This window comes from Homo sapiens, chromosome 4, assembly GCF_000001405.40.
Source record: "Homo sapiens chromosome 4, GRCh38.p14 Primary Assembly".
NCBI classification, from domain to species: Eukaryota; Metazoa; Chordata; class Mammalia; order Primates; family Hominidae; genus Homo; species Homo sapiens.
Genome location: NC_000004.12, coordinates 66,027,173 through 66,045,486, shown reverse-complemented (window position 1 = coordinate 66,045,486; position 18,314 = coordinate 66,027,173). Strand labels below are relative to the sequence as shown.

The window sequence follows — 18,314 nt, the reverse complement described above, 5'->3', positions numbered from 1 at the left end:
ACGTGCTAATTATTATGCTAAACTTCGGTCCTCTTAACAAGAAGACTGAGAATATTTAACCTTAACCACAAATAAAGAATATTGTAACCTAAGATATTAATGGAAGACATTTATATCTTCCATTAGTGTGTGGCAGCTTATTTTATTTTTAATATCTGTGCACCCAAATATCTTGGAAGTTAATATGTTCCATTTTTAGGTAGCCCACAATAGAAGGAGTGGGAGGACTTTGCGTTGTAGGTACAGATCCCTCATGAATGCCTTCTTGCCTTTCTGGCAGTAATGAGTGAGTTATCACTCCATTAGTTATGGGAGGTCTGCTGGTTACAAAGAGCCGGCTACCTCCTCCTCCTTTTCCTGCCTCCTCCTCTTTTGCTGTATAGCGCAACTGCTCCTCCTTTGTCTTCCTCCACAACTGAATGCTTCCTGAGGCCTCACCAGAAGCAGATGCTGGGGCCATGCTTCTTGCAGAGCCTGGAGAACGATGGGCCAAATTTAGACATCTTTTCTTAATAAGTTATCCAGTTTCAGGTATTCTTTCATGCAATACAAAACAGACTAAGACAAACCACAATTCTCTTCTATATATTATTCACTTTTAATGAACTATTTAGAAACCTGAACTTAAGATTTTTATTATCTTTGAATCTCTGCATACGTATTCTACTTTCTTAAGGTAGTGCTTCTGTTTCACCTTTTTCTTCTATGCCTCCTATTTCTTATCTATAAGAATTATATTTTGACATGTAGATTGTCATTGACTCCTGTCCTAAACTTTGGAAGTCTACTCTCATTTTCTCCTACAGTACTCTGGATTTACCTGTCATATGTGTTACCACCTATTCAACAATTCTTTTTGGCTGTGTTTCCTATTACACTATAAACTAATTGAAGACAGTGATCTTGCTTTCTTAGTTTCCACTGGATTTCTTGTGTTTGGCTAGCTAAATAAATATTTGTTAAATAAATGGATAAACAAATAAATAAATAAATAAATAATGAGGTATTAAATTAACGTATTCTATCTCATGTTGTCTCATAAAATCCAAGATTATCTTACTAGACCTAGGTGGAAGTATATGTTAGGCAAGTGAAGGAAATTTTTGAAATTATCATAAATTTACTTAAGATTGCAGATGTTGGAATTTAAATTCAGCTATAAAAATTAAGTCATTACTCATGTTAACTGAATAAATCTTTAATACATGTTAGTATGTCTAAAGAATTGTATTACCAGTATTTCTGGAAATGCTGATAGTTGTGTTGAAGAAACTTTAAGTTTAATTAAAACTTGAGCACTTGTTTTTGTCTCTGAGAAAATTTTAGCCAATCTTTATTACACACAAGAAACTGAGAAATTAAAAATGTGTGCATTTAGAGACCAAATAGGAAAAGGACCTACAAAACATTTTTTAAATAAGAGGAAAAAAGTATGTCTAAAAGAAAATATTCAGAGATGCTAAAAGTTGATATCCATATACTCTTTACTTTTTGTATTTATAGGCAAATTATGGAATTTTTATACTAATTGATTTTCTTAACCTAATGATATGTGCACTAGAGGAGCATAGACAGAGATAATGGCAAATGGAGCCAAAAGTGTTTTCCTGGTGTATTAGTTAAGATTCACCTGAGAAAAAAATGAACAGGATATATCGAGATATATATATATATATGTGTGTGTGTGTGTATATATATATATATATATATATCCATCCATACACACACACAGATATTTATATGTGTATATATATAGATCCTTCTCTTTCACTATATATATTTATATATATATATATATATATATATATATACACACACACACACGCACACACAGAGTCAAGGTTAAAATCTGCAGGATAGGCCAGCTTTGTGTGTGTGTGTATATATATGTGTACACACAAACACACACACACACACACACACACAGAGTCAAGGTTAAAATCTGCAGGGTAGGCCAGCTGACTAGAGACCAAAGAAAGTGTTACAGAGTCAGTTCAAGAGTGGTCTCCCAGCGGAATTCTTTCTTCTTCCAGAGTGGTCAGTCTTATTCTATTAGGGCCTTCAACTGATTTGATAAGGCCCATTCACATGATGGAGGGTCATTTCCTTTACTCAGAATCTACAGAATTAAATGTTAATCTTAGCTCAAAAGCACCTTTACAGAAACATCTAGAATAACAACTGATCAAATATTAGTCACCATAGCCTAGTCACATTGACACATAAAATTAAATATATTATTTTCTTATGTCCTCATCTATGATTTTGCTTTTTACAAATCACGTCAAGATCTTCCTTCATACTGCAAATCTCCTTCTACCCTCAGAATTTCTATGAATTTAGGTGATTTATAAAATAAAACTGATAGCTGCATAGCTCATCCTTTTATTTTACTTTCACTTATTCCTTCTTTAATATTCTTCCTTTCTTTATTTAGATCCAAGTTTCTAATCTACGTCATTTTCTCTATCTCTGAAAAACATCTTTTAACATTTCTTGAACGGTAAGTCTGTGGGCAACAAATTCATTCCCTGCTTTTCTTGAGATGGAGTATTTAATTTCTGTAGCCCAGGCTGGAGTGCAGTGGCACCATCTCAGCTTACTGAAACCTTTGTCTCCAGGGCTCAAGCAATCGTCCCACCTCAGCCTCCCGAGTAGCCGGGACCACAGGTGTGTGTCATCCTGCCCAGCTAATTTTTATTTTTTGTATAGATGGCATTTCTCCCTGTTGCCCAGGCTGGTTTTGAACTCCTGGTCTCAAGTGATCTGCCCGCCTTGGCCTCCTAATGTTCTGGGATTGTAGATGTGAGCCACCACACCTGGCCCTTTTTTTCTTTCTTTTTCTTTTTTTTTTTTTTTTAGACAGAGTCTTGCTCTGTTGCCCAGGCTGGAGTGCAGTAGTGTGGTATTGGATCACTGTAACACAACCTCTACCTTCCAGGTTCAAGTGATTCTCATGCCTCAGCTTCCTGAGTAGCTGGGACCACAGACACGTACCCCAGCAGCCAGCCGATTTTGTATATTTAGTAGAGATGGGGTTTCGCCACTTTGGCCAGTCTGGTCTTGAACTCCTGGCCTCAAGTGATCTGCCCATCTTGGCCTCCCAAAGAACTGGGATTAGAGGCGTGAGCCACTGCACCCGGCCATGGCCCATTTTTTGTTTGAGAAAAGTTTTCTTTCACATTTGAAGGATAATTTTACTGTATACAGAATTCAAGGTTGGTAGTTCCTCCCTCCCCCCACCACCATCTCAATATTTAAGCATTTTATTCCACTCTTTCTTCACTCTTTACTTGCTTGCATTGTTTCTGAAAAGTCCTATGTAATTCTAGGCATTTAGCATAATTAGGTGTAGGGGTTTGTTTTTATTTATTTATTTTTTAAGCATTTGTTCTACTTAGTATTTTCTGAGCTTTCTGGATCTTTGATTTGGTGCCTGACATTTATTTGAAGAAATTCGAGCTGTCATTGCTTCAACATTATCTTTTGTTCCCTTTTCTCGTCTACTTCCAGTATCACCATTTAATGTATATTATACGTCTTGTAGTTGTCCCAAAGTTTTTGGATATTCCGCTTCATTTTTTATCCCAGTCCCTTTTCTCTTTGCTTTTTACTTTTGGAAGTTTCTACTGACATAATCTCAAGGTGACTAAATCTTGCTTCAGCCAGGTCCAGTCTATTAATGTGCTCATCAAAGGCATTCTTCATTGTTATTACAGTGTTTTAAAATTCTAGCATCTCTTTTAATTCTTAGAACTTTGATTTCTCTACTTACATGATATATCTGTTCTTGAGTGTTGTCTGCTTTAGACTATACCCCTTAGCATATTAATCATAGTTATTTATTTTCCTGGTCTGATAATTCTAGTATTCCTGCTATATTTGTATCTGGTTCTGATGTTTGTTCTGTGTCTTCAAATTACACTTTATGCCTTTTAGTACCCTTTGCAATATTGTGAAAAGCTATGCAATGATGTATGAAATCAAAGGAACAGTGACAGGTAGACCTTTAGTGATGTTGTGCTAAGATGTGGGAAAGGGAAAAGTATTTGTAGATCTATAATTAGGTCTCAGTCTCTTAGGAAGTCTATGTCCCTGGACTGTGAACTTCACAAATGCTTCTCAGTTCCTCCCCCTCCTTAGGTGATACAGGAAGGCTAGATGGGCCTGGAATTTAGTATGTCTCTTTCCCTAGGTCAGTTGGGTTTTGGTAAAATCATTTCTCTTAAGGGTAGACCTTATTAAGAAGAACAGAATGTTCTGGGAATTCTGCTCTGGGCATATTTCAAATGGCTTTCTCACTGTGAGGAACCTACTAAGACTCTTGGAGTTAAAACTCCCAGAAGTGTCGGGTCTTTCATAAGACTGGCTTTCTCTGGAGTTTTTAAATCTTAGACTTGTCTACACTGAGCCTCCAGCAATTTGTCAATTACAGTTGCGGTTTTTCTACCCTAGCACTGGTTTTTCTGTGGCGGTTTCTACTCATGGGTCCCTTTTCCATTAAATTGTGATTTTTCCTATTTTTATGTTTGTCTCTTGAATTTTGGGGGCAAGCAGTTTGTGACCTCATTTTTCAAACAGATACTGAAAGAATTGTCGATTTTGAGTTTGTTCAACTTTTTACTTATTCTTAGGATGGAGTGATGACTCCTAAGCTCCTTATCTGTCACAGTGGAAACTAGAAATACTATTTCATACTTTTAGCAGGTGATGGTCAGTTAGAAACAGGACAATATATTTATCTTTCTTGACACAGTGCTTAGAATTCAGTCATGTAAAATGGTGACGGAACAGAAACATTTAATTATAGCTATTATGACACTGGCAGTAAATATGTCACAGTTGGAATTAAGATACTGACTATCATATGACTCTAAGCATCCTTTCATAATAACTGATTCTTGTTTAATACACTACGTATCATCATCAGTTATTTCAGACTTCCAGGTAAGGGAGTGATTGGCCATGTGCATTGAATTGTCTCTATAGATGAAAGAGGGAAGATTAGAAACAAGAGCCCAAACCCTCCTTCTATTAAAACAGAAAAAAAAAAAATATATATATATATATATATAAAGGAAAATGTACTAGCAAAATTCAAACTAAATAAAGGGCCTATACTATAAATTGTCTCTGACTGAGAAAAAGTTAAGAAATGGCACATGGGTTGAATACACCAATATCATTTACATGTATTTCAGAAATACATATACAGAGGAGAAAATAATAAAAAATAATAAAAAAATAAAAAATAAAACAAGTATCTTCAAGGTCATAATTAAGGAAGCAGGAGATGAACAAAAGTCCCATGTTAAGTTTTCATCACTTACGGGAAATAAATTTTACTATAAGTGATTATACCCCATCAGTGTCATTACCCTGCCTACACCTTGTCAGTAACTGGAGCCTGATGATTCATAATGGATTTTGGGTAAAAATTTACTCAAAATTGAGAGGCGATACCTATACAAATAGCACATACTGTTCACTGTGAATAATAAACTCCAGAATTATTCTAAAAATATTAGAGAGAACAATAAACCCCACCAATTTATGACTTTCCATATTCCAATATCACCCAGCAATAGTAAAGCAGATAGAAAACAAGGCTAACTTCCAATGACCGAGGCTACCCATGACCAGTATTTAAACAGAAGTTCTAAAGGTAAGATATAGGCAAGGCTAACATGAAGAGGAAAGGATATCAAAGAACAGACACACACATGTGTCTAGCCAGAAATGATGGCTAGATAGGGCTACTTATGTCAGAGATATGTCAAGTGGAATGGTGTGGCAATGATTCCAAGATACTACAGCAAATGAAAATAAAATTAGAAATCCTAAAGAAAAACACAGAAATAACCAAAGAAACCTCTCTGATAGAAAAATTACGCTTCAAAAAACGGAAGATTTCTCTAAATGAATGTTTCTCCTCACAAATATAACAAATAGAAAAATAGCTTTGTGAACTGAGAGTTTAGGATGAAGACAGAAACATTTTTGAATAAAAGGGAAAATGAAAAGAAGAGCAAAACCGTCCCATCATACAATTAGCAAATGAATTAGGGCTATGAGGAACAATATACACAGGTGGAAACCATAAGTGTAATTAAAATCATAACTCCTCATTTCATTTTTGGGTTTAATGATTTTTTTTATCTTAAGATATGAATCTATTTCCACTTCTAATTATTCTGTATTTTTATTGAATCTTAAATATTCTGTGATTCCTTTTGAAAATTCTTTTCAAGAAAATATACACCTTCTCAAGATTGATTGTCTTACCGTCCACTTTTCACTATTTCTGGCATTTCTCTCAATAAACAGGCTTTGGCTTTGGAGGTTTTGAGATGATAACACACATGCACACATACACACATGGATTTAATATGCAGAATTTGCCTAGTTTTGTCAAGAAATAAAAAATTTGCTTTGTTTTTGGCAGAGTAATCTATATCTCTCTTGGGACCTGCTAATTTGACTTGGCAACATAAATATATGCTCATCTGTTTTATAAAGGTAGTCCACACTTTGGCCTAAACTTAACTTTTGTTATTAATAGTCAGTATGCTTAAAAATTAACTTTAAAAAATAGGCTTTTGGACTACAAGTACCATATTTGCATACAGATCAATACATATGATGTGGCAAGGTTATTAAATTACATGTGGCAATCAACGAAGTATACTTTTATATAAATCCAGAAGTGTATGCCATGTATATAGTCATCATTGCTAAAAAGCTACTGATTTCAACAAAACTGTATGAATTTCATGACCTGTATTTACAGATTCCGCTATTAATATAACTTTGCTTTTCTCAGTATAAAAGCTAGGAAATGTATAAACATTGCTACAGGTAGAAAAAGAAGGGAAATATGTAGTATAACTCCTTATTCACAAAATACAATGATTAGAAAAAGAAGGAGGAAGAGAAACAGAGCAAGAAATGTTTAAGGAACAAAAGTGACCTGTCGCTGTTGTGTTTTGTTTTTCCATTGTCTAACCATGAAAATTAAGTTCCATATTTAAATGTAAGTAAACTTTATTTTACCTAAATAAATTAAGTTTCCCAAATTATAATGTTCATAAATTGCAGAATTTTAAACCACTCTTTCTAGTGTAATACTCAAAGTCCTGATACATTTTTTGAAATCAGGACATTTACATTCAAGGAACAAATCTTTAAATTTGAGACCAACAAACTTTCAGAAGGTCATCTGTAGAGTTGGTGAAAAAAAATTATTATTATTCTATTCTGTTAGTCACTAATGATAGCCACTCTGCTGAAAGAGGAAGTAAATATGAGGTTTTGTGAAGACTGGGGGATGACAAATGACAAATTTATGGTTATGGACTTGCTTTTCATTTCTCCTGCAATAAGTAATGAAAAAAGTAAGAGATAGCAAGAAGAGTTTCTATAGTTGTAATTCAATTCCTATGCACTGTGGCTTACTATCAATAGTACAAGAAAAATTGTAGGGAAATATACATAAAGGGGTTAATTATATACTAAATGTGTTGCAAAAACAACCACCAAAAAGTTCACCTTGCTGATTGACCTAGCAGATTATGAATAAGAAGTCAACTTATAATTTCCATATTAAGACTGTTCTTAAACTAGCATAAGGTCAAGCACCACTCTTATAAAATATAATTGAATTTTTTTTTTTTCTTTGAGACGGAGTCTCATTCTGTCGCCCAGGCTGGAGTGCAGTGGCCCGATCTCGGCTCACTGCAATCTCCGCCTCCTGGGTTCACGCCATTCTCCTGCCTCAGCCTCCCGAGTAGCTTGGACCACAGGCACCCGCCACCATGCCCAGCTAGTTTTTTGTATTTTTAGTACAGATGGGGTTTCACCATGTTAGCCAGGATGGTCTCGATCTCCTGACCTCGTGATCTGCCCACCTCAGCCTCCCAAAGTGCTGGGATTACAGGCGTGAGCCACTGCGCCTGGTCCTTTTTTCTAATATACTATGCTTTATTATGTATGACTTTGTTATACTCCAGAAGGAAAATGTCAAAATGCCATACCTGAAACACTCTTGAATGGAATAGAGCACATTTTGGTAAAAGAAAGGAATATATTGTAATTTGAGTATATTTTTAGTGACTTTTCATTGTTTACTTCCATTCTCTTCATTAGTTATAGAATACTTTCATCTCCTTTCAATTTACTTAGTAAATTTTTTTTCATTTTTAATTTTTTTAAGAGATGGGGACTCACTATGTTGTCCAGTCTGGCCTCAAACTCCTGGGCTCAACCAATTATCCTGTGATATCCTCCAAAGCACCCTGAAACTATAGACCATTATAACCAGGTATTCTTAGTAAATTTTCCATGCAACACATTCTAATACTTCACCTGCCTAGAGCTCATTCAGTGTTCCTTGTACATAACTGTTTTTTAGAAATTATAAAACCACTTTTCATTCTGGAGACAGATTCAAACATTTAAAATATATGTATTATTAATGGAGAATAAATAATATTAAGCCAACTCTATAATCAAGAAAAAATACATCACATTATTACATAAAACTCTCTTTTCATAAAACCACAGCTTTCGAAGTTGAAACTTTTCTCAGTAATCTTCAACATGTGTTTAAATCTGTTTTAAAACTATCTCAAGCAGTTGAACACCCTTGCAAATTCAGAAACTGATTTTCTAGACAAGCCCCAGTAGTGGACAGAATAGTAGACAGACAAGACATCAAAAGTGGGTAGGTTCATAGTGTCACCCAAACTCATAGGAATGGAGCAAATTTCAGATAATTTTCAGTAGTGGTCTATGCAAGAGACTCTTCAGTTGTTAAGTTTAAAGACTGGTACATAGTAGGTTGTTAAAATGAATATTGATTAAATGAATAAACAACTGAATCAGTCCCTGAATAGATGCTTTAATAGAATGATAATTAGGAAAAAGATGGGGAATTGGTAAGTAGACTTACTCAAAAGCAACTTTCAGCATTTAAGAATAACTCTCAGACTGTTCCCATATGCTGTTTCAAGAGTAATTGTAAAGTTATATCAACATTTGGCAATAGATAAAAACATAGTAATATATCATTTCTGTGAAGAAAAGATTTTTTAAACTCTCCAAGTATTTTTTTGCTCTCTCTCAAACCATTAATTTAATAACAGAAAGAACAGAAGAAATCATATTCTGGCCAGTCACTCAGATATGATATATCCCTGATCACCATGCTTTTCACAGCTTTTACCTGGCATTATCAATTACCTTCAAATAGACTGGAGTTTCCTTTAAGCCAAAACTGATTATTTTTGTAAATATTTACCATTTAGTGCCTGGTTCCATGCAGAATATCTTAGGTAATGTTGTATTGAATTTTTCAGTAAGGATGAAAGGCAACATTCTCAATGTCCTTAACAAATAACAGGTAAGACTCCAAAGATGATGAAACTTCATTGAAAAATATTTGAGTGTTGTGTGAGTACATGTACAGATTCTTATGTGAGTACATATACAGAGAAGACTAACTCTCACGTCTCGATGTTATCTATACACAGAACAAAAGTAGGTAAATAATATTGGATTTTCCTCTATTATAAAAAGGTCTATGTTTGATTTGTTTATTCAGTGTAAAAATAGTAAAATTATATAAGAATATGAATTGACTGCTGTATTTTGAAGAGTAAACAAAACCTGGAACAAAAGGTACTATCCTGAGTTTATTATTACCTGACAAACAGAGATTCATTTGACAGATTCTAATCAAGATGGTCATCTCCTCCTGGCACTACTGCTGAGGCTGGAGGATGACATTTTATTAAATTCGTATGCTAGTGAATTGTCAGCACTTATTTTGCTTGTATGTTCTGCTGCTTTCAGCGTTATTGATCATGAAATTTTAATATAATGCTTGGAAACGTATGCCTGCATTTCAAGAACAGCCTCAGATTGATTTAGGACTTAGCTGCCCCCAAGAGAGTAGTCCACACTGGTTTGTGTGTAATTCTTCTTTTCATTTCTTCATTCATTTTTCTACCTCTTCTTATCCTCCTGACCTAATTCTTCCTTCCCCTATTCTCCTAGAAACAAAGTATGTTTGTGAACAAAAGAAAGACTCCAAATATGATTTGGTTTAATTTGTAATATCCATACTACTCTGGATACTCATATCTGAGAAAGTTTGTATAACTGAACCATTTATGGTAACTCATTAGCATTTGCCTATATTTAAACATTAGCACAACATGCTACTTTTCCTGCAGTATACATAAATTTGTAACACTGGTTATGATAAAATTTCTTGTAATTTAGCTCACACAAACAATAAAAATGTTCTATTAACTCATATAAGTGACTTCCTAATTAAGTCATTTTATTTAATTTTGACAAAAATGGCATTTGATTAAATTCCATTTTTATGGTTTTAGAATTCAGATTCTTAGTGGCCTTTTGAATGATATCTTTTCCTTAGGCAGTTTGAAGTCATTTTTTCCCCTCCACTCTCTCCACATTGATGCTGGCAGAAGAGGACCATTGCTTGTCTTTACTTGTGTTGCTCTTATAATATGATTGCAAGTCTGTTCAGTACATCGATTTTTTTTCCCCAACAGCTTGATTACTGCAATTCCCTGTTAGCTGGCCACTTTTCAACTACTATATCAAATTGCAATATGTACAAAGCCAGGCTATAAGACTGCTGGTCTGCAACCAGATAGTGAGAGAAAGCAGAATCAGTTTAATTCCTTTCCTCTAGTCCCTTGTAGCAGGGCTTTAACACAGGCTGTAATCTCTTTGAATTTAAGAACAGTTTTCGTGTCTAATATAGTTTGGATGTTTGCTCCCTCCAAATCTCAAGTTGAAATGTGATTCTCAATGTTGGAGTTGGGACTTGTTGAGAGGTGATTGGATTATGGGGGTGGATCCCTCATGAATGATTTAGCATCATCCTCTTGGTGATGAGTGAGTTCTCCCTCAATTAGTTCGCATGAGATTGATTGTTTAAAAGAGGCTGGGGCCTCCCCCTTCTCTCTCTCTTTCTCCTCTGGCCATGTGATGTGCTGGCTCCCCTTTGTCTTCTGCCATGATTGTAAACTTCCTGAGGCCTCCCCAGGAGCAGAGGCTATGTTTCTCTCACAGCCTGCAGAACTGCGAGCCAAAAAAAAAAAAAAAAGCCACCTTTTTTTCTTTATATATTACTCAGCCTCAGGTATTCATCTAGAACAATGCAAAGGGACTAACAGAATGTCTTTATGGTAAAAAGTTTTAAAGACCATATCATAGTAGCATTGATGTAACCTGCAACACTCACAAACACACAAAATCTATCCTTTCTGTAAGTTAGCTATGAGGGTTCTAGTGATTAGATTTAATTTTAATAAGCATAAAGATGGTGAAATGACTTACCGTTGCACTGTGAATGTGCCACATAAGAGGAGCTGCTCCAAGTGAATAGCATGTGTCAGGAGCATTGGTGTGTCCAACAAATCACCTTCCATTTAACACAATCAATGAATAAATGAATGAAAGGAATGAATTGAAAGAGTAACATGTATGGGAGAAAATTGAGATCTATTCCAAAAGAAATTCCAGAATCTGGTTTTGAAATATTGGTCTCAGAATAATAGAAAAAGTCTACTTGTATACATTTATTACATGTATACATATAACTTTAAAAGATCACTTTTAAAGATAAATTGTGTTAAATATTAAAATAACAATTAAAAGAGAAACATATTTTAAATTACTTCTGTTTAATAAGCAAGGTGATTAATATCATTACCACATACAGAAATATCATTAAAAATTTGGAGGAGAACATAAGTTTACTATTGGATAACTTAGTAAAGAAAACATTCAAGAGGTCTTGTCATTCCTAAAGAAAAACGTATCTCTTTCTTGGAAAAATACACAAGGTTGGAAACTTTGAGATATATCTTTCACCTAGGAAATGAACATACTTAAAACATATGAAACATGGTAATTACTAGGTTAATATTAGAATATTAACCTATTTTATTACTTTTATCCCAGCAAGCACTGAATGTTTATATAACCTGTAGCATTTGTACCATTTACTTTTCTGAACATAGTATCTGTCTAAACAGTTCTGAATTCTGAAACAATTATGAGGCTAAAGGTTTTGAATACAGAATTGAGTATTGCTAGTGGAATTATACGTTGATATTTGTTTGTTTTTTCATACATTAATTCACTTATTCAAAAAATATGTATTTTATACCAAATATTTTTTATTTAATTTTTAATTTTAGTGGGTATGTAGTGGGTGTATATGTTTGAGGGGTACATGTGATGTTTTGTTACAGGTATACAATGTGTAATGATTACACCAAGCATTACCTTAAGCATTTATCATTTCTTTGTGTTATAATAGAATCATTCCAACTCCACTCTTTTTGTTATTTTAAAATACACAATAAAGTACTGTTGGCTATAGTAACCCTATTGTTCTATCAAATACTAGATCTTATTGATTCTATCTAAACATATTTTTGTAACCATAAACCATCCTCACTCTCCGTGCCCCCTAACTACCCTTCCCCGCTTCTGGTAATCATCATTACACTCTATCTCTATGACTTCAATTTTTTTCATTTTTAAGTACCCACGTATGAATCAGAACATGGAAAATTTGTCTTTCTGTGCCTGGCTTATTTCACTTCACAGTTCTATCCATGTTGCTGCAAATGACAAGGTTTCCTTCTTTTCTATTGCTGAATAATATTCTATTGTGTTTACATACCACATTGCTTTATCTACTCTTGGTTGAGAAATACCTAGGTTGATTCCAAATCTTTTCTAGAGTGAATCATGCTGCAAAAATAACAGGAGTGCAAATATCTCTTTGATACACTGATTTCCTTTCTTTGGGGTATATCTAGCAGTGGAATTACTGGATCATATGGTAGTTCCATTTTTATTTTTTTGAGAAACATCCATACTCTTCTGCATAGTGATTGTACTAATTTACATTTCCACCAACAGTGTATAAGGGTTCCCCTTTCTCTACATCCTCACCAGCATTCATTATTGCTGTTCTTTTGGATGCAAGCCCTTTTAACTTGGGTGAGATGATGTCTCATTGTAGTTTTGATTGGCATTTATCTGATGATTAATGATAGTAAGCACTTTCCCAAATACCTGTTGGCCATTTGCATGTCTTGTTTTTTAAAATGTCCTTTCAGATTATTTGCCTATTTAAAAAATGCATTATTAGATTTTTTTCCTATTGATTTTTTAAATGTTTTAATATATTCTGGTTATTAATCCCTTGTCAGATAGAGGGTTCGCAATGGTTTTCTCCAATTCTGCAGGTTGTTTCTTAACTTTATTGATTATTTATTTTGCTGAGCAGAAGCTTTTTAATTTGATGTGATCTCATTTGTCCATTTTTGCTTTGGTTGCTTGTGTTCTTGGAGTATTACTCAAGAAACATTTGCCCAGGCCTTGGTGCAGTGTCTCACACCAGTCATCCCAGCACTTAGTGAGCCCAAGACAGGAGAATTGCTTGAGGCAAGGAGTTTGAGACCATCCTGGGCAACACAGTGAGACCTCATCTATACAATTTTTTTTTTTAATTAGCTAGGTGTGGTGGCATGCTCCTATAGTCCTAGATACTTGGGAAGCTGAGGCAGGAGAATCACTTGTGTCCAGGAGTTTGAGGATGCAATGAGCTATGATGGCACCGCTGCAATCCAGCCTGAGCAACAGAGAGACACTCTGTCTCTATTAGAAATAATAATAATAATTTAAATGAAGAAATAAATAAGTAAAATTAATCTTTTCTTGGACCCATGACATGAAGAGTTTCCCCAGTATATTCTTTTAGTAATTTCATAGTTTCAGGTTTTAGATATAAGTCTCTAATCCATTTTGATTTGATTTTTTGTAAGATGACAGGAGACAAATGTCTAGTTTAATTCTTCTGCATATGGATATCCAGTTTTCCCAGCACTAATTATTGAAGAGACTATCCTTTCTCCCATTTATGTTCTTGGCACTGTTGTCAAAATGAGTTCCCCATAGGTGTATGGACTTATTTCTGGCTTCAATTTTCTGTTCCATTTGTCTATATGTCTGTTTTCATGCCAGTACCATGCTGTTTTGTTTATCATAACTCTATCATACAATTGGAAGTCAGATAATGTGATTCCTCCAGTTTTGCTGTTTTTGCTCAGGAACACTTTGGCTATTCTGAGTCTTTTGTAGTTCTATATAAATTTTAGATTTTTTTTTATTTCTCTGAAGAATATCTTTGGCATTTTCGTAGGGATTACATTGAATCTGTAGATTACTTTGGGTACTTACGGATATTTTAACACTATTGATTCTTCCAATTCATGAACATGGAAAGCCTTTTGACTTCTTGTGTCTTCTTCAATTTCTTTCAGTGTTATGCAGTTTTCATTATAGAAATCTTTCACATCTTTGGTTAAGTTAATTCCTAGCTATTTTATCTGTGTCTCTTGTCAATGGGATAACTTTTAAGTTTCTTTTTCAAATTGTTCACTGTTGGTATACAGAAATGTTACTGAGTTTTATGTTGATTTTGTGCCCTGTAACTTTACTGAATTTACAGAAATGCATTTAACTATGGCAAGTACTAGATAGAGGAAAACAATGTGAGGTTTACAAAGTCTTTAATCTAGCCTGTGGGACAAGGGATAATGAGGAGGTACTATGCAAGTAGGAAAAACTGCATAGAAGAATTGAAATCCAAACTGAGTCTAATGCACAAATTAGATTTGGTGAGAGAAAATATAGAGTGTGGAGAGTCCACCAGCAAGGCTTGATCTAAGATTTCTAGCAAGACATGAATCTGATTGGAAAATGGCAAGGTGTAAGCCAAAGCTAGGAATCTTTGATTTATTAATGTGATTCCAGGAAGCTAATATAGGATTTTATGTAAAAGCTGACATAATGTTGATTGTTTCAGTGATATTAGAATTTTTTCATTAAATAATTTATTAAAAGGAGATAATCCCAATAGGTGACAGGAGACTGGTTAGTAGATTATTGTAATAATGAAGATAAAAAAGATGAAGCCTTATCTAAGATACTGGATTTTGAAATTATACTTCGTTATGAACTTTTCAAATACCTATATTTTTTACAATTGTTTAAGATGATGTTAACTTTTGATTATAAGTTTAAATCTATGCAACAGCTGTTGCTGGTCTATATCTACATCTCTATATAATATATATATATATCTATGACAACAAAGAAAGGGCCCAAAGTCATCAAAGGCTGGTAATTTATTGCCTTTTAAATTATTTTAGCTAAAAAGGAGAATAATAATAAGGTATCAAATCTTTACATTTTTACTCTATACTCAATTGTTTTTCTCTTTATGAGTAGGTCAGCCACCATGCCATAACATGGTTTCCTTCAGTGTTGCTATATGTGGTTTGAGGTTACACACTGTAAGCTCCATAAGAGTTTCATCTGTTTTGTTCAAGTAAAACTTCTCATATTAGTTCCTATTACACAATACATGTTAAAATATATTGTTGAATGCATACATGAATACTAGAAGTAAAGAACCAAGACAGGAAGAACTGCTTTTTTTGTAGGACTGTGTTTCCTATTGTTGCGTATCCAGATTGTAATCCAAATCCAAATGATAAATAACTTTATGAATTAATCAGTTATTTTTTCTTATTCCTCTACTCTATTACTGGAGTGGAAAACTCAGTCATCAATATTACACTTAATCATATGTATGAATTACCCCTCCCAGGCTGTCATATGTATGTGATTTGCTTAGGTTGAAAATCAACAGGACGAATCTATCAAGTTACTGTTTTTTTCTTTTTTTTTTCCTTTTGTTTTAAGATGGAGTCTCCCTCTGTCAACCAGGCTGGAGTGCAGTGCCACACAATCTCAGTTCACTGCAACCTCCACCTCACGGGTTCAAGTGATTTTCCCGCCACAACCTCTCAAGTAGCTGGGATTACTGGCGCCTACCACCACGTCTGGCTAATTTTTGTATTTTTAGTAGAGATGGGGTCTCATCATGTTGGCCAGGCTGGTCTTGAGCTCCTAACCTCAGGGGATCCACCTGCCTCAGCCTCCAAAAGTAATGGGATTACAGGTGTGAGCCACTGCACCTGACCAAGTTATTGTTCTTTCCAAGACTCTATTTCTGGTTTCAGATCTTGTGAAACATGAAAAAAAATTAAATCTAAAGTGATAGGCCATCATTTATTTAGTGTGGCATTGAATGAGACCCTAAGAACACATTCTTCGTTTTATTCGGGACAGGGTCATTGTGCACGCAAAATAGTAATCTCTGTACACCAAGAAACAGAAAATCAAAAACATATCTACCATCCTTTTTCTACACCATTCTGCCCCTATGATAAAGTACTTATTAATAAAATAATAGTTACCATGAAATGAGTGCTGTGTGTTAGGTATGGTACATACATTATTTCACGAGTTCCCCAAAAATTGTCTGTAAAGTAAATGTTACAGATGTCATTTTATAGGCCAGGAGATGAAGCTTAGTGAATGAGATAATTCATTTTAGATCTCAACCTTGGTAAATGGCAGAGATACAATTCCAGGATTGTCTGACTTTAATGTCATCCTTTCACCACTGAAGAACAATATATGCTATTTCCAGAAACATCCCCTGAGATATACTTTAAGTGCTACATGTCTTTCATATCTCTATAATGCCAAATATGTTTTTGATATATTACACATTATGTAAAGTATTGTATGGAAAGCATACAGTAACAATTTAAATCATTTTTGTCAGTTCACATACTGCCATTCTTATAAAGACTTGAAACAAATTCTGTGAAAGGAAGAATTAGTTTTGATTTGACATATAACATCATTAAAAATTAGTAAATTTTATACAGATGGTAAGAACTTTTACAAATACAGGTTATAGAAACAGGCACATCTCAAGTATTTTTCAAAAATTTTGTGACTAATGAAGTAAGCAAATAAGCAAATTATATTGTGCAAGATTTTCATTAATCCCTTTGAATCTATTATTTCACTTAATTCTCAAATATTTTAGTCTGAGCTTGATTTTCTCTTTCTAGATAATCTTTATTCATGTATCAAATCAGAATTGCCTTACTTCCCGACAACATTCAATTCTAAGCATAGCCCTGTTTTCTTAAATCTTCCCCAAATCCCTTAACATAAACCAAATCCTATACCCTCTTACTGGCATACACCTGAGTTCACCATGATGTGCATTATTCCTCACTGCAATTAGTGTAAATCCAGGCTTTTCAACTACAGATATATCCCCAGTGGTCTTTGGTCATTGATTTATGTAAAAAGTCAATCAAATATGATTGTTTTTAACTTGATACTAAATAACCAGCTTGATAGTTCTATTTTGTTGGTTTTTGACTCCTGTCATAATTTGTTTAGCCCTGTGAATATTCACTTTTTCGTTACAATAACCCTAGTTAGTAACTATTTTTCTTCCTCCTGCTTCTCTTCTTTGAAATTTTCTTTTCAGAAATGGCAATAAAGTTTGTGTGTTAACTACGTGATTATTTCATAAAATATGTGTTTTAGTAATAAAATCCAATCCAATGTCATTTAACAAAATGTTTTATTAGCCAAAGCCCATCTAAGCTATTCTTTGATCAACTGTTTTCATCATCACTTTTGTAAATATTTTGAAAGAAAATAAGGCAGCTGAAGATAAAAGCCAGAGGCAGGGAATGTAGTGCTGATTTTGGGTTAATGGTGTCCTCAAGAGTTCCAGAAAGTGATTTTAAAATCCTGAGAACGAAAGGTTGGTGAGTCAGGTAGTGCCACACAAACCATTTTGTCCATGCTTTCTGACCCTACATGATTAGGGGTCATTCTCACATTTGTAATAAATCATATAGATTAATTTGACACAACACCCAGTATCTTTTATCTTCCTATGCACAGAGCTCCATTAATTGAAAAAAAAAAAGTCAGAAAAAGCCCAGTAAGCAAAATAAAAACACCTTTTTTCAAAGGTGATTATTCTTATTATGATCTTTCAAATTTCAGAATAAGAATGAGAAAATCATTTATCTGAAATGCTGTTTATACCAAAATGAATTTGACTCAGGGCTATTTCTAAGAAGGGGCCTTTCTGCAACATTCTGGCACCTCTTAAAGCAATAAGAAAAGCCACCTTTATTTCTTGGCCAGTGGCAATATTTGGAGGGTGAGTTAATTTTCTTTAATTTTTCTTATAATTCTGCTTTGCCTACATCTCAGACCAAAAGCCGATTATATTTTCATCAACAATGGATCTAGAAGAAAAAGTAAAGTATTTTATGTCTGCAGTTTTCTTTTATATTCAT

The 18,314-nt window shown here is 34.1% G+C and overlaps 1 long non-coding RNA gene across 6 annotated transcripts in view; it reads right to left on the bottom strand.

Annotated features, from left to right (window-relative positions):
- The window catches only part of LOC105377261 (uncharacterized), a 148,733-nt gene that overhangs the window by 106,447 nt on the left and 23,972 nt on the right, over positions 1-18,314 (bottom strand). For 2 of the 6 annotated variants that reach the window (XR_938845.2, XR_938842.2), the window contains one exon: positions 127-474. The exons of 1 other annotated variant lie outside the window; for it this stretch is intronic. This is a non-coding gene — a long non-coding RNA (uncharacterized LOC105377261). Of the gene's footprint in view, positions 1-126; positions 475-11,376; positions 11,462-12,733; positions 12,811-18,314 lie in introns of those variants that run through there. 3 more of the 6 variants (XR_938846.1, XR_938843.2, XR_938844.2) reach the window with 3 other exon arrangements.